General features: G+C 50.6%; 1 protein-coding gene across 25 annotated transcripts in view, besides 1 other annotated feature; it reads left to right on the forward strand.

Annotated features, from left to right (window-relative positions):
- Nucleotides 1–24,502, forward strand: part of CAMTA1 (calmodulin binding transcription activator 1) — a 984,253-nt gene that overhangs the window by 251,042 nt on the left and 708,709 nt on the right. The window lies entirely within an intron of this gene.
- Nucleotides 13,236–14,135: an enhancer, noted in NCBI's record as "H3K27ac-H3K4me1 hESC enhancer chr1:7109791-7110690 (GRCh37/hg19 assembly coordinates)". NCBI's record gives its function as "activates a minimal SCP1, AML or CMV promoter by ChIP-STARR-seq in naive H9 embryonic stem cells {active_cell/tissue: H9 hESC(naive)}" and the evidence as "EXISTENCE:reporter gene assay evidence [ECO:0000049][PMID:30033119]".

Raw genomic sequence — 24,502 nt, forward strand, 5'->3', positions numbered from 1 at the left:
AGGACTTACGATCCTAATTCCACAACAGAGACGACTAGCATTCAGAAAGGTTAAGTTACATGCTGATGTCATGCAGTGAGTCAGTTATGAAGTCATGATTGGAAACTAGGCCTTTTGGGTTCAAGGTTTGTGCTTTTTCCATTCCGCTAACATCTGAGGTGATTGGCTTGTTATCTGAAGTTACTCTGTTTTTATTTCTCTTTCAGCTCTTCTTCCAAACCTATTTTCGGGCATAGTTTGTTACGTTTCTGCTAAGCGAGTTGGCTCTATCAATTACAGTATTTTTGTTGCCACAGCAACAATAATGCAGCCATATTATTAGGTATCACTACTGTTTTGTTCTGCTGTGAGCTTCAGCCAGGCAGGTGCCCTGCTATTTGCAGAGGTCTCTCTTCGTGGCTGTGGCTTTCTTGTCTTCGGGGTTAATTGCGTGGAGGCTGTGTTTCAGTGAGGCCTTGGAAGTTCGGGGCTGGTACTACAGCCTGCTATAGGAAGACTTCTTCATCGGTTTTATAATGGGATCATTTATAATGTCTTAGATAGTAAAACAAAAGAACCTTTTGAGTTTGTTGATGATAATATCCTACGGACACATCAAGCATTGTCTAAAGATTTACTTGAACTAATTGAGTAGATGATGGAAAGAGAGACGATACACTTGCTCATTTGTTTAGTTCTTTCTACTTGCAGCTGTCTGATAAAGAAAAACGGAGGTAGAATGCTTGAGATTGCATGAATGCTTCTGGGAGGATGGGTTGGGATTTACAGAGTTTAAAAACAGAAGTTTGAGAGTTTCATAGGCATGTTTACCTGCCAGCATCACTGCAGAACCAGGAGGGGTGCGTGAGGCAGAGAGGCAGGCGGAGGAGCAGGGAGAGGATCCCACTTGAGGTGGCACGTTGGCCTTTCCCTGTGCTCCGGCTGGAATCAACGAGGCATTTGTTCCCTGCCCAGCCCCAATCTGTGCTGCTTTCTCTCTCTGCTGGGTTCTTCGCATTGGGCTTTATGCTACTTCGAAAAATGGACAGTGTTTTCGTTAAGTTTTAGATAAATTTAAAAACAGGCCGGGCGCGGTGGCTCACGCCTGTAATCCCAGCACTTTGGAAGGCCGAGGCAGGCGGATCATGAGGTCAGGAGATCGAGACTATCCTGGCTAACACGGTGAAACCCTGTCTCTACTAAAAATATAAAAACTAGCCGGGCATGGTGGCAGGTGCCTGTAATCCTAGCTACTCAGGAGGCTGAGGCAGTAGAATGGCATGAACCCGGGAGGCGGAGCTTGCAGTGAGCCAAGATCGCACCACTGCACTCCAGCCTGGGCAACAGAGCGAGACTCCATATCAAAAAAAAAAAAATGCAGCTTTGGGAAACAGTAACTGACACACACTGTTACTAGGAATATATATATTGGTTTGATCTTTATTTTTTTTTTTTTTGCCATATTTTAAACACAATGGTTAAAATTACTGGCTTCGGAGTGAAATTGCTATTTTCCAGCTGTAAGACCTTGGGCAAGTTACTTAACCTCTCGAGGCCTCAGTTTCCTCAACTATAAAATGAGGCTACGTTAGTGCCTACTTAATGAAGTTCTCGTGAGGAGTTTACAATACATGAAAAGTGCTTACAGGAGTGTCTGCACAGAGTAAATGTGCAGTGGGTGTTGCTGTTATTATTATATATTAAAAGTCAAAGTGTTGATTTTCTTTAAGTCAAATTCATATTTAGAAATTTTTCCTATAAAAATGTGATCATGAGCATTCAAAGGCATATTTACATGCATATTCATTGTGGCATTGTTTGTCATTGCAAAGTAACCTAAATGTCCACCAGTGGGGACATCATGGTGCACCCATAAAATGGAATCTTGTGTAGTGGTTAAAAAGGATACAGAGATCAATGCCATATATTAAGTGAAAAAATTAGTTTTTCTGCCATTTCAATTTAAAGATTTCAAACGTATTTCAAAAATATAACAAAATTGAAAGAGTTTTGCAATGAAACCCATAAACCCACCAAGTAGCGCCTGTGGCTAGCATTTCATTTTACCTGCCTTATCAATATTCACCCTTCTGTTTTCATCCATCCATCTTGATATTTTGATTCATTTCAGGAAGGTTGTACACATCAATACACTTTCTCCCAAATATTTCAACAGGTAGGAATATCATTCATTAGAGTTCACAGTTTGTTCATATTTCTTTTGAAACATTAGTTTTTATAACAATACAGATATTGTATGTACCCATTTATATAAATAACAAAGGCTGGGCGTGGTGGCTCACGCCTGTAATCCCAGCACTTTGGGAGGCCGAGGTGGGCAGATCACTTGAGGTCAGGAGTTCGAGACCAGTATGGCCAACATGGTGAAACCCTGTCTCTACCAAAAATACAAAAATTAGCCGGTCATAGTGGCAGGCGCCTGTAATCCCAGCTACTCAGGAGACTGAGGCAGGAGAATTGTTTCAACCTGGGAGGTGGAGGTTGCAGTGAGCCGAGATCCTGCCACTGCACTCCAGCCTGGGTGACAGAGCAAGACTCTGTCTCAAAAATAAAAAATAAAATAAAATAAATAAATAACAAAGATGTTTCTATATGCCAAGGGTCATAGCAAACCACTTCTGGTGGTAATTTGCTGGAACAGGGTTACTGAGCAATGTGACTTTTACTTTATGCTTTATATACTTCTGTGTGAATTACGCCATTTAATATACTGTTGGAGTGTGGCGTCATGGCTGCCACCTTCCCACTTTTCTTCCTCCTCCTCCTCCTCCCTTCTTTTTTACTATCATCATCATCAAACCTAGTTATACAAAGCTTTGCTTCCCTTGCAAAGCTACAAAATGCCCAGGCAACCCTTGTAATTCTTGAAGCACAGGGGACAGAAATGGAGCATTCTTTGGATTAGAGAGACTTGTGTTGTCCTTAATTAAGTCTGGGGTCCTTTCTGATACCTTGGTTTGAGGACTCTGAATTAAAATTAATAGCGCTTCCTTTCACATCTGAACCATTGTCCAAGAGCCTCCCTCATTTTAGTGAGATATTGAAAAACAAATGGAGATATTTGGAAGACGTGTAGGTATGTGGGGCGATTTATCTCAAGGGGCGTTCTATTCTGTGAAATGCTCGAAGCTAATTGGCATGTGGCTAATGGGAATCGCTTTAAAGTCTGAAACCAAAGTTCTAAAAGGCAGAAAGATGAGGCGCTTAGATTTGTTGCAATTAGGTATCCAAGCACCTAAACCCACTTGATAATTTTCTCTTCATTTCTGTGGGCTGTGGAGTGTGGGAGGAAAATGGGTAACCTATAGGGGAGTGGGAGTGTGAGTACAGACTTACATATAATTTACTTTCCTGGAAAGATATAGACAAGTCATTTCAATTGCCTTTTTTCTGGGGGCGTGTACCCTACAGATTCTGCTTGGAGTTGGTTGGAGTCCATTAGAAGTGGCAAAACATTTTTTTTTTTTTATGGAGGAATTCAGGAACTTTTAGAGCTTTGCAGTGCATATTTTAAAATATGTTAAGTGCTATCAGAAGGCTTGGATACTTCAATCTTCTTTAAATAAATGGATTTTACAATTGCAAAGTGGCGACTTTTCTTTTTTTGGGTGGCAACTCACCACAGCCCCACCTTTCAAGTGAAATTTTAGACACGCTAACTGTGATTTTTTTTTTTTTTTGGCTTTTAGCATTTTGGAATAAAGTCGAAAGTTTCAAAAGCTGCCAGCATATTTCAATTTAATCTGCTGCTGTGTTGTCTCTTGATAGCGTAATGCCAGGGCTACAGAGATGTTTTCACGATGTAAATAATTTGTGTACTGTAAGTTGTCTAAACACGGCATGCGTGTGATCCGGTGCAATCAGATTGCTTGGATATGGCTTTACGTGACGGACTGTAATGGTTGCTTCGGAGTCATTAGAGCCTAGTATGTAAATAATCCACATTTTAAAATTGTCTTAAATGTGCTTAGACAATGGATGAATGCCTCCTCTGGATTCATTAATTCCATCAAGAATTCACAGTTCACAGCACCTGAAGGCATCAGCCTGCTTCTTCCCAAATGAGCTCTTGGCACTGTCAGCTTGCCCGTCTCCCAGGTGTACCCGTAAGCAGGGAGTCAGGGGTCATCTTTTCACCTTGACATGTGCAAGGTCATGACCACAGCCAGGTACAATACAGAATAAAACCCTGACCTAGGACTTTCTGCCTTGGCCATGGATCTCCCTCTTTTTTTTTTTTTTTTTAAAGACAGAGTCTCACTCTGCGGTCCAGGCTGGCGTGTGCAATGGCGCGATCTTGGCTCACTGCAGCCTCTGCCTCCCTGGTTGAAGCGATTCCCCTGCCTCAGCCTCTCGAGTAGCTGGGACCACAGATGTGCACCACCATACCCAGCTAATCTTTGTTTTTAGTAGAGACTGGGTTTCACCATGTTGGCCAGGATGGTCTCGATCTCTTGACCTCATGATCTGCCCGCCTCAGCCTCCCAAAGTGCTGGGATTACAGGCATGAGCCATGGTGCCTGGCCCTCCCTCTGTTTTTTAAGACAGGTGCGTGTGGGCGCAGGAGGCGGAGGGCCCTTATGCTGCCCTGGCATTTTGGAGGAGCAGGGAAATGAGATAAAGCTGCAAAATGACTCCCTAAAAGTTGGCCCCAAGCCAGTGCGGGCGACGGTGTCAGCCACCCTTGGTTCATTTTCTACACGAGGCCCCACACGGCCCCGGAGCTGGAGCTTCTACCGAAGGGTTGCCCTCTGTCCCCTTCTCGGCTTCCTCTGCAGAGGGGCTCAGAGCCAGTCCAGTCAGACCTGCGAGGCCTGGGCTGTGGCTGCTGTGGCTTTGCCAGCATCTATTGTCTAAGAGGGCTGGGGAAGCTCACTGTTTGAAACACACACACACAACAGAACATAAATCAGAGGCAGAATCTTTTAACATTTACAGTTTTAAGTGAAATTCCTGTTGAGAGTCTCTTAAGCTAGATTTATATCTGATTTTGCATTGAACTGTGTCGTTATGTGGGGCTGAGAAACTCTTACGAAATTAAGCATAATGCGAAAACATGCTGAAAAGACAGTTCTGTAGAAATGTGAAACATTATTATGTTATAGAATATTGGAGTGAAGAAATACGCATAAAGGCACAATTACCATGGACATTTTCCTTTTAATGATCCTTGTACAATCCTTGGCAGAAAGGTTTGCTGACGTCTCCTCGTAGATAAAGGAAAATTGAGACGATATTGATATTCTACATCCGTTTTGAATTCCAAAGAATATCAGGAGAGCGAACCAGTCTGTCTTCATATTCAAAACAGCAAGGCCTAGACTATCTCGATACCTTGGGAGGATCTGTCATTAGTGTTTGGGGATTTGACTGAAGCCTCCACACTATGGACAGACCAAGTGGTGGCAATAATGTGTGCAGGGGTTAACGTCTGAATGCTCTGATCTGGAAGCTTCTAGAAGCTCCTAGAATGGGTTGAGGTTGTTGGATGCTTGTCCCTGGAGAGTTTTTAGGGTTTAAAGCATCTGTCTAGAATGTCTTGAGAGTGTCCTTGGGGATAGGGTGATAGAGGTGCTTGCTTGTGCTAAGGTTTGTTCCAGGATACCCTGTTCAGCTTTGTTTTCCACAGGAGAATTCCCCTCCTCCAGCCTCTGACTTCTGCTGCCCTGGCTTAGGGCTAAGGGGATATTGATCATGGCCCCTGGGATTTTATCTTTCCTTTCAGTCTCCAGAATGACTCCCAAAGCAGATGCTGCTTCTCTTGCCTCCTCGTCCCCCTTCCCTGGGCTGCCCTGGCACCATAGCCTGGGTACCCAGTGTACCATGGAGTGTGGGCAGAAACGCTGTTTCTTCCTCTTGTTCCTGGCCGACCTTCTTCTCTTGGCTGGGACTTGTGATTCCAGTGGGGGGAAAGGAGCCCAGTTTCCCTGCCTCTCCCTGTTCAGCCCTGGAGCAGCTGGAGCAGGGCTGGTGGTGGCGCTGAGATCGCAAGCCTTCCAGAAACCCTTCCTCCCCCTGAGCTCATGGCAGGTCCCCTGGCAGGGGGAAAGCTTTTGCTAAAAACCTCCCTGAGCCCGTGCCCTCTAAGCCTGGCATTGAGATGCCACCAGCTGGTCGGGGGAGGGGGAGCAGCAGCCGAGATGCCGCCCCAGGTTGGAGCGCGGAGGCCTTTCGCATTTGCTCTGGAAGCATCATCTGAGAAGCCCTAGCGGGTTTTGCTCAGGGTCAGGTGACAGCCAGTCTCCTCCCTTCAGTAGGGCTGGCAGCAGCTCCCGACTCACAGTTCCTTCTCTTCTGCTCTTCTCAGAACCTCTTAAAGGACCTCTAGGCGTTTGTTACCTAGAGTTGCTTGAAATTAAGCTATTTAATTCTAATTTGGCTGTGCAATATCTGATTCTTGACCACCAGAGGTCACTGTAATAAGGTAGAAAGCAGGTGTTTCTGAGAGTCTTCAATGTGTGGTTGCCTCAAGAAAACAAAATGAAATCAACCAAACCACCCCCCAAGTTTCTTCACTGGCCTGGGTGTGCTGCAGTGTGCTCTGGGGCATGGACACGCAGCCCCAGCTTTCTCACTTGTGGAAGGTCTGCCCAGCTGTGGAGCCTGGCAGGACGGGACAGGTGGCCACTTAGGGAACATTTGACTGCCAAGGCCGCTGGCACAGGCCTCTGGGCAGGCTTGCTTTCATAGGATGGTGGGTGCATCGGGGCCTCACTCAGAGGCAGGGGCCCTCCTCTTTCCCCCACCCTACGCTCACCCTGAGCTGCATTCTCAAAGTCCATTTCTGGCAGCAACCTGGGGTTAGATTTTCTTAGGTTAATTAGGCTTGTCTGCCTTACCTTTCTGTGTGTGCACTTGAGTGTGTGCATGTCTCTGTGTGTGTGTGTGTGCACGTGCCTGCTCCGTCAGGTGGGGTCAGTAATAGTGCTGTCCACCTACAGCTATTTGGTGTTAAAAGGAGATGGTGCATGATGTCGGGTGCTTAAAAGCACAGGGCTTGTTTTCCAGCTAGTGTCCGGGAAATGTGAGCCATCAAAATTCTCATCCAGAGGCTCGGCGGAAAACATTTACCCCGTTGCAGAATGGCTTCGACTCTTTCTCAGACCCACCCTTCCTGTCCTCTTTGGTTGGTCATCTTCCTTATATGGTGACGTTTTTCAGTAGAACGTAAGAAACGCCTGCCTTTATTAGCAGTGGCTCCTGAAGGTTGGTTCCAGGGAAGCTGTTTTCGTCTTCGGTGGGTGGCTCACGGGAGAACATTAGGGCCTTGGGGGTGCAGTTTGGCAGGCTTTGCATTTAGCAAATACTCGGGCCCTCAGGCTAGAGCTTTTGTGAGACTGCTCACGCACTGGTTTCTCTTCCAGCTCTAAATCCCCGAGTTGCCGGAACACAGAGAAATTAGAGATGCATGTGATCTCCGCAGGGGGCCAGGCAGCCAGGGGAGAGGGTGGTTCTGGATGCAGGAGCTCACATTCCTCACTGGGAACATTTGGAGGATATAGGTCTAGGGGAGGGTGACTGTATTACCTGGATCCTCCAGAGGGCCATTAGGGCTGCCAGCGGAGGTCAGGAGCAGTGATCTACGGGAGATGCTGCCGCCATCCCCTTCAGTGGGAATTTCTCCTGGATGTCTCTGCAGAAGGCACGTGGGTGTCACATATGCACACACATGCATGCACAGCGCATGGCTGGGGCTGCAGAGCAGGCGCCCCAGTGTCATGGACCCTGTGGCCACAGCTGCTGGGCCTGTTCACACACGGTTGGGACTGGCCAAGGGTCTCACCCAGACTAGACGGGAATGGGGGAGACCCAGAGAGACGCAGAGCAGTGCCGCTGGGGACCCCGGGGACTCAGAGCAGTGCCGCTGGGGACCCTGGGGACTCACAGCAGTACTGCTGGGGACGCCGAGGACGCAGAGCCGTGCCACTGGGGACCCCGGGAAAGCAGGGCAGTGCCACTGGGACCCAGATCATGCCCCTCTGCATGTAACCGATGGCACAAACACCAGGCCTTCAGCAGGGCCATAAGCATCTGAGGCTAGGAAGGCACATGCGTGATTAGCAGATGGGTGATGGGGCCTCTAGCGGGCAGATTCTGTGGTGGCGCTGAAACAGGAGACGTCCTCTCCGACCTTGGAGACCTGGCATTTGGAGCCTGAATGAGCCAGAGACAGGAAGCCTGTCCCTCCCCTCTCTGGGCGACCTTCCGAGGAGGCATCAGCTCTTCCCTTGCTTTGGGGAGGGAACTTACCCTGCGTGCAGTCCTCCTGCCCCCCTGCCTGGCGCATCTTTCCCCCTCACGTCCTCTCCCCCACTCCCTCCTCTTCCCGCCTGTGGTTTTCTTTCCCATTCCTGTCTGCCAGCAGTGCCTCCTCTCCCCATTAACATCCCGCCATTTTGATTAAAAAAAAAAATCCCCCAAAATAAAAACTCATACTTGTTTCTATGGGCTTCCTATGTTTCTTTGGAAGCAGCCTCTTCATAAACCCAGTGAATAAATCTCTTCAATTGTTGAGACTCCTGTAAGAGAGTCTGGTGAAGTATAGCTTGTACCTGAACACTGCGCAAATGAGTCTATCCTGTTTTTAATCATGGGCCAGAACTAAGCTAATGTTTTATGTGCTTCTCTTTTAAAATCCTCCTAAGGACCCCGAGAAGCCAGCACTAATATCATCCCCACGTTTTAGACGCAAAGCAGTTCAAAGTGTTTAAAAGATAACTTGGTGGTGGTCACCCAGCGAAAGGTGGCAGAACCCAAAAGCTTGCTCCTTATCCACTGTGACTTGGCCTCCAGGGATGAGACCAACCTCTCCTGGAAGGGCATTGCTGTTGCTAGCCACACCTGCCCGTCTGGCCCCCTCCTGCTGTAGTTGGAAGCATCTTTCCTGTTCATTCTGTCCTCAGCTGAAATAGCAAACAGCTGGTCACCATCCGGCACCAAATACCCCCAATACCTGAGACTGCATGTCTGACTAGTCATTAATTTGTACCCCCCAGCAGGCCAACCTCAAACTCTTTAAACTTTATATATATCTACATTTGAAAGATTATTTTTATTCCATTAGAGCCGTTACATCCTTATTGTAGATGCCCTTAGCAAGAAGGGTTTCTGGAAGGGGAGGCCCTAGAAGGTGACTATCGGTACTGAATCCTGGTTCTTTTGATTCCAGATATGAAATTGGCTTTTAGAGCACATTGTGCTGATTAAGCCCAAATAACACCACATGAGTAGATTTTAAAAGTCTCCTCTTGAAGACGTCCTCTAGCATCTGTTGTTGGATTGTGTGGCTGATACGGGCTTGGAGTTAAGCACATCCTTCCTCGATACTAGTTCTCTCTTTCCATTAAAAAATGCAAATGCAGAGGCCTCGAATGTGCCCGATTTAGATGTTTTGATATGGAAAGGTAATGTTAATAAGGGCATTTGGCAGTGATGCACTGAAGAAAATAAAACAGACGCATGGTTTAGGTTCTGCTGTTCCTTCCCAAACTGCTTTTCCAGGCATCCAAAACCCAGCTCTTCTGAAAGGGCCTGGGATTCTCCAGTGGGTGCCTTGGTTGGGAGGGGACCCCTTCATGAGAATCTCCCTCTTCTCTGACCTCTCTCAGTAGAAGTGCACAGAAAGTCTGATCTCAGATCTGCCTCTGCATATTAATAGCAATATTATGTTTAAATTGAAAATTTCATTTTTCCTGCCTGGTGTGCAGGCAAATAATTGAGACCTAATTTACTTTATTTAATAAGCTAGTAGCCAATGTAGTTAAGCCCACACTGATAAAAACTTGGAGGGCATTTGTTGACAACCTCCCACATTTTTCTGGCTGGCTTGGTTGGACCTGGAACAGCAGGAGGCCAGGATACCAGAGCCTCCCAAGTCCCAGAGAACTCCCAAAGGGTCTCCCAGCTGCCGGAGGCTTCCAGAGGGAGGGAGTGCCACATGGGAGCTGTCCGTGGTTCTTGTGGCTGAAATTGGCAGGGCTCCATGGTGCTCACTGGCAAGGGCTGCAGCAGCCTGGGGCTGCCGTCTGTGTTCCATCCCGGATGCAGCTGATGTGCTCACTCTGCAGACATTTCTTAGTGCCTAACTCTGCTGGCCAGGTGAACAAGGCCCTGTTTTTCCCTTGAAGATCTCATGGTTCAGTGGGAGAGACAGTGGGAGAGAGGAGAAAGTGACTAACTCCACTTAGGAATGTGTGTGGTTTAGGGGCAAGAGTGTGAGTTTTGGACTCATGTTCTTAAATGCTGACCTCAATAAATATGTTTAAATTCTTTGAGCCTTGATTTTTCTTATCTGTAAAAATGCAAGTACAGATAGTAGAGCTTTTCTTCCAGCTTGTTAAAAGGAGAAACTATAAAACCTAATGTGAAATGCTGCCATGGAGCAGTGACCATCACAACTGCTGCCGGAGTAGACATGGGAGATAGCCTTAGCACTGAGAGTTGATATTTCTGTTTTTCCTCCTGGGTGCCCATGGTGGAACTCTTCCTCCCTGCCCCCTTTGAAGTTAGGAGTGGTTGTACAACTGACTTTGGCTCATGCAGGGTGAGCAGAAGTGACATGTGTGGTTTGCTATGTGCCCTTCTCCTGACTCAGTAATCAGGGCTGCTTGTGCTGAGGTGGAGGCTCCAGCAGCCTGGATCCCTGAGTGACTACATGGAGTGGAGTCTCCTCCCCCACAACATGCAGGGGATGTGTGGTGTGAACAAGTGGCTTTTTGTTGAAGCCACTGAACTGTTAGGGTCAATTGTTATTGTTACTGCAGTATAACATCTTGTCCTGACTAAAGGTTCAGGAGGATAGATTTTCTCCCTTCGGTGAGAAGGAGGGTACTCCACAGACAAGGTTACACTTCAGCACAGTCTTAAATCAGGACTCTGCATTCTCTAGATGCAGGAGGGGATAAGGGAATTCCAGATGGAGGAACTGGCACACGCAGGACCTGAAGGATAAGGTCTCTGGCTGTCAAGTAGATTTACATTTCTCCATTGTCCCTCCTCTCTTCCGCTTACCTTTCTTTCTCTCTTCTCCATTCCTGTCCCCACCCTTCTTCAGCTTCCTCCCTTTCATTCTCTTTTCTTGCCAGGTGTCCTGAGGCTCTGAGTGACCCTAGAAGTTGCCCTTTAACTGGCCAGTGTCTCCAAAGTGGTTGCATGTCTCGAAGCTCTTTGCGGCCTCATTTCCTCCTGCTCATTGGTTGGCTTTGGCTTTCTCTCTCTCTCTCTCTCTTTTTTTTTTTTTTTTGGAGGTTACTAGGATTAGAGATTGAAGCTGATAAGTGCAGCTTCTCCACTTGGTGGGTGGTGATGGTGGTGGAGCGTCATCCGAGCAGGGGATATGCCTGGATGTCATCCACCCAGGCTGAATGCCTTCCCAGCAACAGAGCTCTGTGACTTGGGGTGGGTTCTGTATAAACCCTGAAGCTTCTATCACCAGGTGACTTTTTCTAGTATTCATTGACAAAGAAGAGATTTTAGGACATCTCTCACCCTACCCCCTAGCTGATTCCCTGTTTAGCCAGTTGGTGAAGTCTAGGCTGAGTCATTCTGAGAGCAGAGGAAGCCCTTGGTCATAATGGTGCAGCCTGTCTGGCCAGGCGAGGGGAGGGGGGTGGTCATGGAGGATTTCAGCGGGGAGGGTGGAGGCTTCCTGGACTTGTGGGGATCAAGATTTTCTCTTTTGCTGGCTGGCTGGCCCTAGAGCTGTGCTTTATTAAGATCATTTGAATATTATGGCTTTAGGAACAGAACCTATTAATAATTGTGACAAGGAGAAATTGTAGAGCGTGGAAAAAAGGGGAAAAAGAGTCACTCCAAGGTAAAATAAACCACCACAATTGGAAAGTCCAGGTAACTACCAGAGTGAGACAAATACTACCTAGAGAGTCACAGTGGGAGCCATTTGAAAAACAAAGTACAATTAAAAGTTTAATTTTTGATGGAATTAGTAAATTAAAAGTTTCAGGAATGGGTCTTCTCAGGAGAGGGGAGCGTCTGCTGTTGGCTTTGGTGTGGCTACGCCAGCTGGGCCCTAATCTCAGCCTTTGCCCGGAGAGATTCTGCAGCACCTGCCGAGTGAGCAGTCATCCCATTTGAGCTCTGTAAGAGATCCAGCGTTCCTCTGGGAGTGTCCTGAGCACGCCCACCACCACCTGTCCCTGAGCCTTCCCTTGCAACAGTCTTGCCTTCCTTTCATTCTCTTCTCAGCTGGTCTTGAGTCCGAAGTGAGCGGCTTCCTTTGTCGCTTGGGAGCTGCAGCTTGCACCGCACTCAGGTGTAAGGACCTGCAGGTGTGTGCAGACACAGTCTGTGTGTTCCTCAGAAGGAATGACCACTTGAAGCAGAGCTTTGTGACGAGGCCTTCCCCAAGTGCATCTGAGAACGTTCACAGGACTTCTGAGACTCTAAGATGAGCCGTCAACCTGTGTTGCAAATCTCCTCCAGCTTTAGGAATTAGTTTAAAATTAAACTTACAGACAGGCCAAATCTCCCCAGACTCAGGCCGACTTAGGAAAGTACAATGCGTGGCTTCATTTTAACAAGTAGTTCCCTGATACGGTACATGAGGAAAATGCTGCTGAACGTCAGCTAGTTAACTTGAGGACCCAGCATCAGCCATTCTCCGGACTGCGAGCTCAGCTTGTTTCAAGTCTGGGGGTTCATGTACGAACTACAGGCTGGTTCTGGGGTCTCAGCCTAAGCTGAAGATCCGGCGGGGACCAATATGGACAAAGCATAGAGGAAACTGCCCAGTCAGAAAGGCAGTGAGCCAGAAGCCAAGATGTTCCTTAGGAACACCCAGGGAGGGGGCAGCGTCAAGGCCAGGGGGTGCAGGGCCTGCCAGCTCACCTGTCTCCCACCTTCACGTACATCCTCTATTCTGGGAAAGTGTGATCGATCCTGCTATGCATATTGTTGCATTCCATCTTCATTTTGTGTCTCTTGATTGTTGGGGTTTTTTGTTTGTTTGTTTTTTTGTTTTGAGATGGAGTCTCGCTCTGTTGCCCAGGCTGGAGTATAGTGGCACAATCTCTACTAACTGCAACCTCTGCCTCCCGGGTGCAAGCGATTCTTCTGACTCAGCCTCCTGAGTAGCTGGGATTATAGGGGCCCACCACCACACCCAGCTAATTTTTGTATTTTTACTAGAGATGAGGTTTCATCATGGTGGCTAGGCTGGTCTCGAACTCTTGACCTCAGGTGGATCCACCCGCCTTGGCCTCCCAAAGTGCTGGGATCCCAAAGTGCAAGAGATTACATGCCTGGCTCTCTTGGTTTTAAAGAAACAGCAGCTATTAAGTTCAGATGCTTTTCTAAGTGTTTATTCATCCCATGACTTAGTGTGTGTCAGGCACTGTCCTGGACACTAGGATGTGGTGGTTAAAGCAGCCCAGAGTCTCTGCCTTCAAGGAGCTGATGTTCTGGTGGGAGGAGGGCATCGGGGGATCCTCAGTGAGGAGTAAATGTCACGAGCCCAGTGGGAAAGTGAAGGAGGGAATGGGGTCCAGCGGGGGAAGGGAATCCCAGGGACATCTGGGCAAAGACGTTCCCAGGAGGGGACTGCAAGCGCGGTGTCCTTGGGGCGGGATTGCACTGGGAGTGTTTGAAGGTCAGCCGGGAGACTGCGAGGCAGGAGCTGGTGGAGAGAGGACGTGGAAGGAGGTGAGGCCGGGGAAGTGACCGGCAGGGCCACGGAGGACTCAGGCGGCTGTTCCCGGCCTGCACCCTGGTCCTCCATGGTGGTGAAGGGCTGGGGGTAGGACCACAGCCTCCTTGTCTTGCCTTCCTGGGGAGATGGGGCAGGAAGAGAGTCTGTAGATAATAAGCTGCCTGCACCCTGAGCTACTCCAGAGACGGCATCTGTCTGCTCCGGGGCCAGGGCGGAGAAGCCTGAAGCTGAGTCCCTGGGGTGCAGGGCCCACACTCTGGCTGCTCATTGCCACTCTGGGTCCCGACCGGGTGTGGGTTCAGATGAAGACTCTCAAACAGGCCTTGGCTGCATCAAACACATCGCGGGGGTGTGGAGTCTAGGGCTGAAGTCACGGGGTAGACTTCAGACTTCTGCAAACGTCACCTGGCAGTGCCCAGTTGAGATATCTGTCTCGGCAGTACCAGGCTATTTGAACATGTCTTTGTAGGTTTATCACCAAGGTAGAAGAGTTCATTGTCTATTTCTTAGGTGAGGGACTCCAATTTGTGGAGGCAATGGTGGGGGTAGGGTGGGTGGAGGAGAGAGTATGGTGGGGAGGGGAAGGAGCCCCAGGGGGCCTTGGCCTCCACGAGTTTCTAGTCCTTGTCAGGGTGAGGCAGGCGGAGAAGAGGGGACTCTGGGAAGGAGAAATGGGAACATCACACTGGGGTATTTATGGGAGCCGTGCACAGGAGCGCTGGCCATTCGTCTTGAGGCCCCACTGCAGGGAGCAGCGCTGGAAGCCCGGCCCTCTGTACTGTGTGTTCCCAGGCACAGGGAGAATGACTGTGCTGCCTCTTTCCGGGGTGTAATTTGAGTTTGCATGTGGAACGAGGCCCTGGCCCCTAAGTCAGCCCCTTTATGTTTTGGTCGTGATTGGTGAGGCGCTGCGGCAAGGTGCCCACGTCCCTCTGGTGATCTGGAGACACGGTGAACAATGTCGACATTGAATATGTTGCCAGGAGTGCTTAGCGGAAGGTTGATACAGCACCTCGGGTCTGAACGTTCTCTCCCAGTGCTTATGAGCTGAAAATCTCAGAATTGAGGCAGGCAATTTCTGAGTTCATTCAGAACGCAGTGAGCTGTTTGGGAGATGGCCACGTGCAGAGGCAGACGGCAGCTGACGCAGGCTTCTCCGGTGACACAGTGACCGTTCAGCCCCAAGAGAAGGCAGTAGGGAGATTACCTACCGCTACTGCAGACTCCTTCCCAGGCAGACACTTCCAGACCCACTCTTCGCTACATCCTGGAGCTGCGTGGGGTGGGCAGGTGGGGCTGCACGGACGGAGACCTCTGGTTCCTCTTGGCCCTTTGGCCTCCCGCTACCCAGCGCTGTGAGTGGGGTCTTCCAGTGGGTCCTGATTGCCAGGTCTTGAGCTGCTTCAGGTGCCCCCAGCCTGGGTGTCCGAGGTTGCTGATGCACTTGGGGGCTCAGTTGCTGTTGGTGCTTTGATAGACTGTCCCTTCTGAGGAAACATCCCTGCCAGGACAGACTCATCCCTGTTTGCCAGGACAGACTCATCCCTGTTTGCCAGGACAGACTCAGGACCAGCCTGTGACAGAGGCTGCTCCCTCTGGATTGTATTCATTCGAATAGGTGGTCCCGTTAAACCCAAGATGGTGCTCTGTGGTGTCCCAGTCTACCCTTGCCCCTGGACTCCAGTTCCTGTAGGGCTCTGTACGCCCCCTCTCCTGACCCTCCCACCCCAGCTCCTGGAACATTCTGTGTTTCCTTGGGAACCTGCTGCACTTAGCAAAGCCCCCTCTCCGCAGCCTCCCCCTTCTTCCGCTCAGGGGCTCTGGCTCTGCCGTGGGGACACTGCTGCCCTTCAGCCCTTTCAAGTGGAGGCTGTGTTCTCCTCTCGGCCTGAGTGTTACTGGGCCTTGGCATGGGGCGGGGGGGTGGGTATCCTTGGTCCCCAGGGCCACTTCTAGTTCACTGTCCCCCCTTGTCCTTGAGTCTGCATCTTCGGCTGCTTCACGCCCCACTGCTGCTTGTGGGGCCACCCTTGGGCCCTGGGGCCATTCTTTTTTGCTCCCTGATGGTCGCTGGCGGGTTCTTGTCCAGCCCTCTCCTGTGTTGTGGTGTTTCGTGTCGTTCTCTCCGACGACACCTTGGTTTCTCAGTTCCTGGGCTTTCTCCCCTCTAAAGACCTCCTTGTTCAGCGACTCATCCCTAGGCCCTGGGTCTGTTCTCTGTGGCTTCCTGCTTTACCATCTCAGGTTCCAGAAGCCCATTCAGACTACCTGGCCTTCTCTGCCCACTCCTCCCAGTGTCTACAGTCCAGCCACGCCTCAACACCAGAATCCAGGGACCCTCGGTGTCTTTGTGCTGCCCCAGCCATTCCTGGTCTCACACCCTCCCCGACTCAGCTCAGATTCCACAGGTCCCTCCTCGCCCACGTGCCTTCTGCATCGGGCCCCTTTCCCCTCGCTCACATGACCAGGTGCGTGGCTCGTCCAGCTCTACTCATACCTGGTTCTCCTCTTGGGCTGTGCCCACACCCGCCCAGTACCTGGTTCTCCTCCTGAGCTGTGCCCACACCTGCCCAGCAGCCTGACTGGCCTTCAGTTCCCAGCACCAGCATCAAGTGCCCCCTTGGCTCTGTCTGATTCTCCTCCGTGCTGTCCCTCGACCCTCCTCCGTGCTGTCAATCCATCCCTGTCTGGCTCTCTGGTCTCTTGGGCCGGGCCGTCCCCTCTTATCCCTCCTCCACCCTGCTCCCCTCCCCGCACTCCTCGCAGCTGCTGACCTGCTTTCCATCGCCCAGAGCAGAGGAGACAGGGGCAGTCAGAACAACACTGACACTGCCCTGGCTTCCCCCTGCCAGCCTCGCCCGGCCACTCTGCTGAGGGAATGGGAAAGAGCGGACACAGCCATGCAGGGGAGGAGGGAGCTCGTGGGGGCGGCTGGAGGGATGGACCCTCATGCTCCTTGCCAAGGGCAACTCTTCACTCATGAACTTGACCCTGTCCCTTTGGCCAGTTCCAAGTGTTTGCCGCCGCAGCGTCCCTTCCCTCTCCTGCGGTGGCAGCTTCTTTTCCTTCCTTCCTGGTTCTTTCCCATCAGTGTCTGCGTATGCTCCCATCGCGACTCACTTCCCTCCAGTTCTGTTTCTAGTTTTTCCTTCACAGCAGAGCTTCATCGAAGCTCTATGCCCACCATCATTAGTTCCGCTGTCTTCTCGCGGCGAGGTGTGATGCGGGAGCGTGGCAGCCCCCTCTCTGGTCTCCTGCATCACTCCTGCCTCTGCGCCCTTGCTCTAGAACCTTCTCCACGTGGCCACCCAAGAGGCCTTGTTAGAATGAGCGTCAGATCATGGCACGTCTTTGCTCAAAGCCTTTCAGGGCCCCCTTCTCACTCAGGATAGATGCTGAAGTCCTCACTGTGACAGGATCTGCACCCCCACCCGCCAGGGCCCCTCTGAGCCCATCCCCTTCCCCTTCCTCCCTCACTCCACTCTGGGGACACAGGCATCTTGGCCACTTCTCGAAGCAGGGCCTTTGCCCTTGCTGGTCTTGCCTGCAATGCCCTTCCCCAGGTATCTGCCTGGCTCCCTCTCACTCCCATAGAAAGGAATTTTTAGGTTTTACTGTGTCCCCAGCGCCCATAGCAGGGCCTGGGACCTGGTGGTTGGTTGCTCAGCATGTCTCTGTGAATGAATGAGTGAATGAATGCTGCGTGGAATCTGGAGTCTTCCTGGTGGGAGACAGCCCTTAAAGCAGTATCCCTGGCGCTGTCTCCTCCTCTGTTAGCCTTACCCATCCTGGCCTGCCCTTGCCCATTTTGGGGACTTGCTGCTCCTGCTGCCTCTGCTGCACATGTGTCCTGGGCTGGGGGGTCCCTGTGGGTAACCCTGTCACCACTTAGCACAGACCATCGTCCTCACTGCCAGCCCAGCCTCTGACTTAATTACCACTGGAACTTGGGTTGCACAAACAGGGGTCCCCTGGGCCTGCCCACTTGATTTCCTGCTGGGAGACCAGCAGGGGCTGTTCTTACCCTAAGTTTAGCTGGGATGTGGGGAGTGGTGGCTTCCCTGCTGGCCCATGGACAACTCTCCTTGGGGACAGCTCATGTCCTCCCCCACAAGGAAGGAAGGAGAAGAGAGGCCAGGCCGCCTCTGCATGTCTGGGTTTCTATGACGAGAAGCAGCCTCCTGGGTCTTTCTGAGCTTGAGAAGCACTGATGGGTGAATTCAGGCTTCATTCCTGCTGGTGCACATCATGCACATCTTCGCCTTTTTTTGATTCTCTATTTTTCTCTTTCATTTTTGCATGGCTCAGTGGAAGCAGCTAATGGGGGTTCAGCAGCAAGTTCTCTCCTCTTAAAGATGGGCTGAGCCTGACCTGCAGTTGCTTGAACAACTGGACAAGCCCTGGTGGGGCTGTGCATGCCGGTGGTGAGGGGGTCGTACAGGAGAGTTTTCAGAAGGGATGCCTCCTGGCAGAGAGCGACTGAGGGGAACAGGCAGTAGCGTGACCTTGGAGTCGGGCTGTGCCACACTTGAGTTACACGGACACCACTTCCGGCTCTGTGACCCGGGAGAGCAGCCTCTGGCCTTCAGTGTTCTCATCTGCAGTATGGGATGGTATATGAGTCCACTCTCGCACTGCTTTAAAGAAATACCCTAGACTGGTAATTTATAAATACAAGAAGTTTAATTGGCTCACAGTTTGGCAGGCTGGACAGGAAGCATAGTGCCGGCATCTGCTCAGCTTCTGGGGAGGCCTCAGGAAACTTACAATCATAGCAGAAGATGAAGGGGAAGTAGGCTGGTCTTCCGTGGCTGGGGCAGGAGCAAGAGAGAGAGTGGGGAGGTGCCACACACTTTAAACAACCAGATCTTGCGAAACTCACTCGCTGTCACAAGAGCAGCACCGAGGGGATGCCACTAACCCATTCACGAGAACCCTACCCCCATGATCCAGTCACCTCCTACCAGACCCCACCTCTAACACCAGGGATAACAATTTGACATGAAATTTGGGTGGAGACACAGATCCAAACCATATCAGATAGTAATAGCACCTAGCTTGTTCAGTTGTTAGGAGATTAATGAGAATGTGTGACCAGCACATAGTATTAACTGGTAGCTCTTACTAAATTAAGGAAAGCCCCAGAATTAAGAACCAGAGCCTTCCCTTTACAGCAGTGTTGAGCATCTGTGCACAGCACCTCCAAGTCCTGGGTTGGTTTGGCTCTACCTCTCAGTGGCTCCAGCCTGACTTAGCATCCCTGAGTCCCCAGTTCTTCCTGCAAGGAAAGGGGGCTGTCCTCAGGAACAGATGAAAGAACACACAAAAGAGACTCCCTGAACTCTAACACACAATACACGTGTTAGACTGTTGTTACCTATTCTTATTGATTTCATCAGCAAGCATTCACTGTGTCCCTTCTGTGCCGGATGCCATGGGAAGTGACAGTGGCCTGGATGGAGACCTGGCCTCGAGGTGGGTCACCTGAGTGTCCTGTGATACCTTCACCTGGGTGGCTTGGCCCTTATCAGGAGGCTGCGGCAGCATCACAGTGGGAGGCCCTCTGTCTCCCGCCAGTGGGCCCCAGTCCGTTTGCTCACTATTTTCTATCCCGGAGTTTACCTGCCCAGGCACACTGGGGGCCCAGGCCACGTTCTCCCCTCCCTGCCATGAGTCTTGATGAAGTACTTCAGGGCTCAGCAAATTTTGGTCAGAGGTGCCCTTCTGCAGAGCCCTCTGAGTTACAGCGAGTCCCCTGCCCCTTCCTCTGCACAAGGAGGGCTGGTCAGAGGTACCCCTCTGGGGAGTCCTCTGAGTTACAGCGAGTCACCTGCCCCTTCCTCTGCACAAGGAGGGCTGTGTCTTCCTCTCACCTGAAGATCCTGTGCCTTTTGCTCTTCTCTGCACGACTCATGTGGGGCCTGGGATTCTCACTACACTCGATATGGGTGGGAGATGAACTTATAATCAGAAGGACACAGAGCTGGTCCCCGGGGCCAGAGGCTAGGAGTGACAGCTCAGGTGATGTGGGTTACACAGCTTTAGGCTCAGTCCTCATCTGGAGTCAGCCAAGAAAATCGCATTTCACACACATGCACAGTTTTATGGCCTCTTTTGATGTTTCCTTGGTGGTTTTGAATATTTAAATTTATATTTTCAATAATTTATTTTTAACCCCTCAAGTAACTGAACCTGCCACGAGAAGATGCAGCCCCCAGGTGGGAAGGGGGCTCATGAGCTGACCCATCAGGCTGAGGCCTTGTGGGATCACCTGAGAGGCGTTTTGGAGTAATTTCCTCTCCATCTCTTTTTATTTTAAAAAATAAAAAATGTACTCTGTTAAAACAGTGACATAAGACAAATGGTACAGAATGCCAGCTGTGAGGATTCATTGATGGATGAATTTAACCCATGTTTATGGAGTGTCATGTCTTTGGTGCTGGGAAAAACAGAGAGGGTGACTTAGTCTCCCTCCTCAAGGGAGGAGCTCAGAGTCAGGGGATGGGGAGGCAGACCCCCGAGGGACTCCCAGAGCCCACCCTTGGAAAGGAGAGATGAGTTGGTGGTGGGGGGTGGGTGCCAGGAGCCTTGGGAGATGGGGCCTGCACTGCTGGGAAAGTACCGAAGCTTGTGATCTTTCAAAGGAGTTTTGACAGGTGACCAGACACAGATAGATGGTGTCTTTCCCTCCCAAAGCTATAGGGGCCATGAGAGCCGATCGTCTCATCTCTGGGTGGTTCCGCTGGGACACCCCTCAGAAGACTCTTGGTTATGAACCCCAGTGTCAGCATCCCCCGCACTCATGGTTCACTGGTTCTTCCCTAGACCATGACCTCTTCTCCTCCTGTCTGCATGGCATAGGGCCAGGCACTTCCCACCTGCATGGCTTAGGGCCAGGCCCTTCTCTCGGGTGGGGAGGAAAGTGAGAGAGACCGAGCCCCTGGCCCTCTGCTCTTCTCCACCAGGCCTGAGATGGGGGTCTGGGCTCCTTTCTATGTGTTTGCAATCCAAGGTCCTTTTGGGAATTCACCTGTTTGGAAGATGAATCCTATCTCCAGTTTTGCCTTTGGGTTTCTCAGCTTGGAGACACATGTGCGCGGCGAGCTCCCGTCCCGGTTCCCCTGGGTCCTGCAGTGTGCACAGGAGCAGCCCTGGGATGGATCTTTCGAAGCACCTGCGTCGCAGCCAGAACAGGGTTTTTAAAAAATCAACTATACAGGTATTTAAGCAGGGACTAGGGTGGATTTTATGGCCCTCCGTGTGGCAGGCAGCAGGCTTGGCTGATTCTCAGGGCGGCGGGGTGGCCCTTGCTGCAGTTCAAGTCACAGTCTGTTGCGGCTGCATTCCATTTTTCCCAGAGAAAAGGCCAAATGTCAGGGGCCTCCTAGGTGCCTGGGAAGATGTCCAGCTGCCCAATGGACTAGTCTGACCCCGACAGGCTGAGAGCCTGTCATCGGGCTGGAGGCATCCAGGTGAAGTGGTCCACGGAGCTGGCATTTCGTTTACACTTATGTGAGGCCTTTCTTTGAGCCTCTTAGACAGTTAGTCCTGACAACATCTGGGTTGAAATACAGATGAGGTTGTGGCATAGCAAGTCCCCTGGCCCAGATATAGTCACGGTTTGCTGTTGATCCAGTTAGGAGACCTCCGCTTTGGCCATACAGCCTTCCCTTCTGAGCTGGGATGGTCCACCAACTTTTGGAGCCACAGCTGGTAAGGAGACTTCCTATCTGAGGATGCCCCCTTCTCTGGACCCCCAGATCCTGACACCAAGCCAGGCCAGGCCAGGCCATTTTGGTGTTGCAGAATGTGTGGTGGGGAGTAAGAGCAAATTTCTGTTCCAGAGGCAGGGAGGGGACACAGAGCACAATCCTGGCTGATATTCCCTGGGGTAATGTCCAGGCAGGACGGAGACCGGCCCCTTCCTCTCTTTCCCCTCACACCAGATGGCTATGGCCCTGCCAGACATTGGGGCTGTGGGCTGCTCAGGACCCTTTCCCCAGCACCCCGCATCACGACGCATCTAGAATGTCCAGGACACGATTCTCCTGCGGACTCCGATGGCCACCCCCATTCCCCCTGGGGCTGAGAGAGTTCCTTGCCGTGCAGATTTGTTTTACACTCAGGATGTATTCCTTGGTCAGAGATGGGAGACGGTTTTCTCATTTCTGTCTCTTTTTAAGAGAAAAAGTGGAAAAAGACATCCAAGCACTTTGTTCGTGGACCACTTTCCTGCCTGTGGAGTCGTCACCTGGCATCCTTGCTTCTGGGCTGGTAGAAACCAGACGCAACTCATTGCTCTGAGTTGGTGCGACTGCTTGAAAGGCCGGGGCAGGTGCTGATGTAGTTTCTTGGTGCAGAGTGATGCCCAGTAGATGTCCATGGAATGAATGAATAAGCAAAGAATGAACAAGTGATGTTTAATGAGTAGGGAGGAGGGGGTGCCTCTGTGGGGTGTTGGAGTTCCAGGCACAGAATCCACTGAAGGCCGGGCTCCCCTTTGTCAGAGGTGACGTCTGGATGGGCAGATTTGCCAAAGTTCTAGGGTCTGAACATAGAGGCCAGGACTTATTAAAATCTGCTCCTTTCCTTAAACTAGCACATTCTAGCTGTTATCCTGGTGCCATAGAAGGATGAAAAATATTTCTGAGAAATCAGACAACTTCCAGTGACTAAAGCTAGTCTAAAGAATGGTGTACACACACACATACACACACACACATACACACACACACTCTCTCTCTCTTTCTTTCCTGTTGGGTGTTTTCAGGCCATTTCTGTGGCTCTGTAGGCCAAATTCTAGACTCTAGTGAAAAACCCACAGACCTGAGTTCGTGGGCTGGCAAGCTACACGTTTGGCTCATCTGAGGTCCTGGAGGGTGCAACGTCTGGGCCACCATCCGGGTTCCTGGGCTCTCCTTTCCATCCTCACCAGGCTCCTTGGGATCCCCCAGTGCCTTCCTTTCCCATCCCAGGCTGCTGCTGCTCCTCTCATTCCCAGATGTTTCTATCTCTCTAGACAGGTTTGGGAGAAGGACTTCTTTGAAGTTCCTGCTTCCTTACTGACCTCAGAGACTCAAGAATGGTTCATTAAAATAATTTTGTCAAGGAGGTGGTGGGTGGAAGAGGTGGGGGTAACAAATCTGGGGAAGTTAGAGGAGTTTAAGAAATCTTGGCGGGGCATGGTGGCTCACGCCTATAATCTCAGCACTTTGGGAGGCCAAGGCAGGAGGATCACTTGATCCCAGAAGTTTGAGGCCAGCCTGGACGATATACCGGGACCCCATCTCTACAAAAGATTTTTAAAAATTAGCTGGGCACAACGATGCACACCTGTAGTCCCAGCTACTTGGGAGGCTGGGGCAGGAGGATCGCTTGAGCACAGGAGGTCGAGGCTGCAGTGAACTATGATCATGCCACTGCACTCCAGCCTGGGCGACACAGCAAGACCCTGTCTCAAAACAAAACAAAAAAAATGAACAAAAGCTTATGATATGATCACCGTCGTGGTACCCTTGTTTCTTAAGCCTTGTTCGAAGGATGACCTCTTTTCTTCTTAGGGGAACTTTGTACTATTTATGCCTGAAGCAATCAGGGAATCAGGTGTGTTGAAAATAGAATAGAAATGGTGGTATTTATTGAACTTTTTATTGTGTTGGGCACTTATGCTTAGTGCTTTAAAGATATAATAGGATCTAAATCTCACAAAATGCTGAGAATCAGATGCTGTTATTACCCTTGTTTAGAGAGGAGCAATCTAAGGCTCAGACCACACGGCAGATGTGCTGAGGAACCCAGGTTTCAGCCCAAGTCACCAACCCCAGCCTGGGCAGCCGCCACAGCTGCCCCTAGACCAGGCCCCAGATCCCTTGGGACTTCTGGCGTAACTTTTATGTGCATAACCTACAGGCCTGTGAGTCTTAAGTGGGTAATTTGCATGATGGGGACCTTAAGACTGGCAAAATCCTTTCCTAGGGGGTGGTATGAGTATGCTGTGGCTGCCATAACAAAGCACCACAAACAGGACGTAAACAGCAGAAACCAACTGACTCACAGCCCTGGAGCCCAGAAGTCTAAGCTCAAGACATCAATAGGGTTGGGCTCTCCCGAGGCCTCTCTCCTTGGCCTGCAGACGGTGTCTTCTTGCCCTGTCCTCACATGGCGTTTCCGCTGTGCACACGGCTCCCTGATGTCTCTCTGTGTCCTCATCTCCTCTTCTTGTGAGGACACCAGTCATATTGGATCAGGGCCCACACTGATAGCCTCATTTTAACTTAGTCACCTCTTTAAAGACTGCCGTCTCCAAATCCAGTCACATGCCGAGATGCTGGGAGTTAGGGCTTCAACATACACATTTTGCGGGGGACACAGTTCAGTCTGTGACAGTTCAGTCATTTGCTTCACATAGGCGGGGTCCCCTTAGGGTGGTTGCTTTTCTGCCTGTACACGTGTCTTAGACCCCTTGGGAAAAGCACAAGCCCAGAGCTGCCAGTGCAGGCGCCCCTGAGGTGCTCACGGCCCTGCGGCTTCCTGTCCCTTGACTTTTTGCCCCACCTGGAGCAGCAGACATTCTCTTCCGATTGCGGAAAGTTTTGAGGCCTCTTGTATAACATAAGACAAGGCTTCTGCATTGAAATTGTTCAAGAATTGGGTTCCAATTTCCCAGGAGCACGGAAAGCGTTGCCAGGAAAGCGGAGTTGCTGGCGATTTATGTCGGTTTTTCTGACATAACGAAGATTTCCCTTTGTTTTTTTGGAACCGACTGGAGCGTGCTTGCCAAAAGAGCGGCCTCAGGAGGAGCAGATCATTTTCTCTTGTTCTTCCTCCTTCTTTTTT

Source organism: Homo sapiens, chromosome 1 (assembly GCF_000001405.40).
Source record: "Homo sapiens chromosome 1, GRCh38.p14 Primary Assembly".
Classification (NCBI taxonomy): domain Eukaryota; kingdom Metazoa; phylum Chordata; class Mammalia; order Primates; family Hominidae; genus Homo; species Homo sapiens.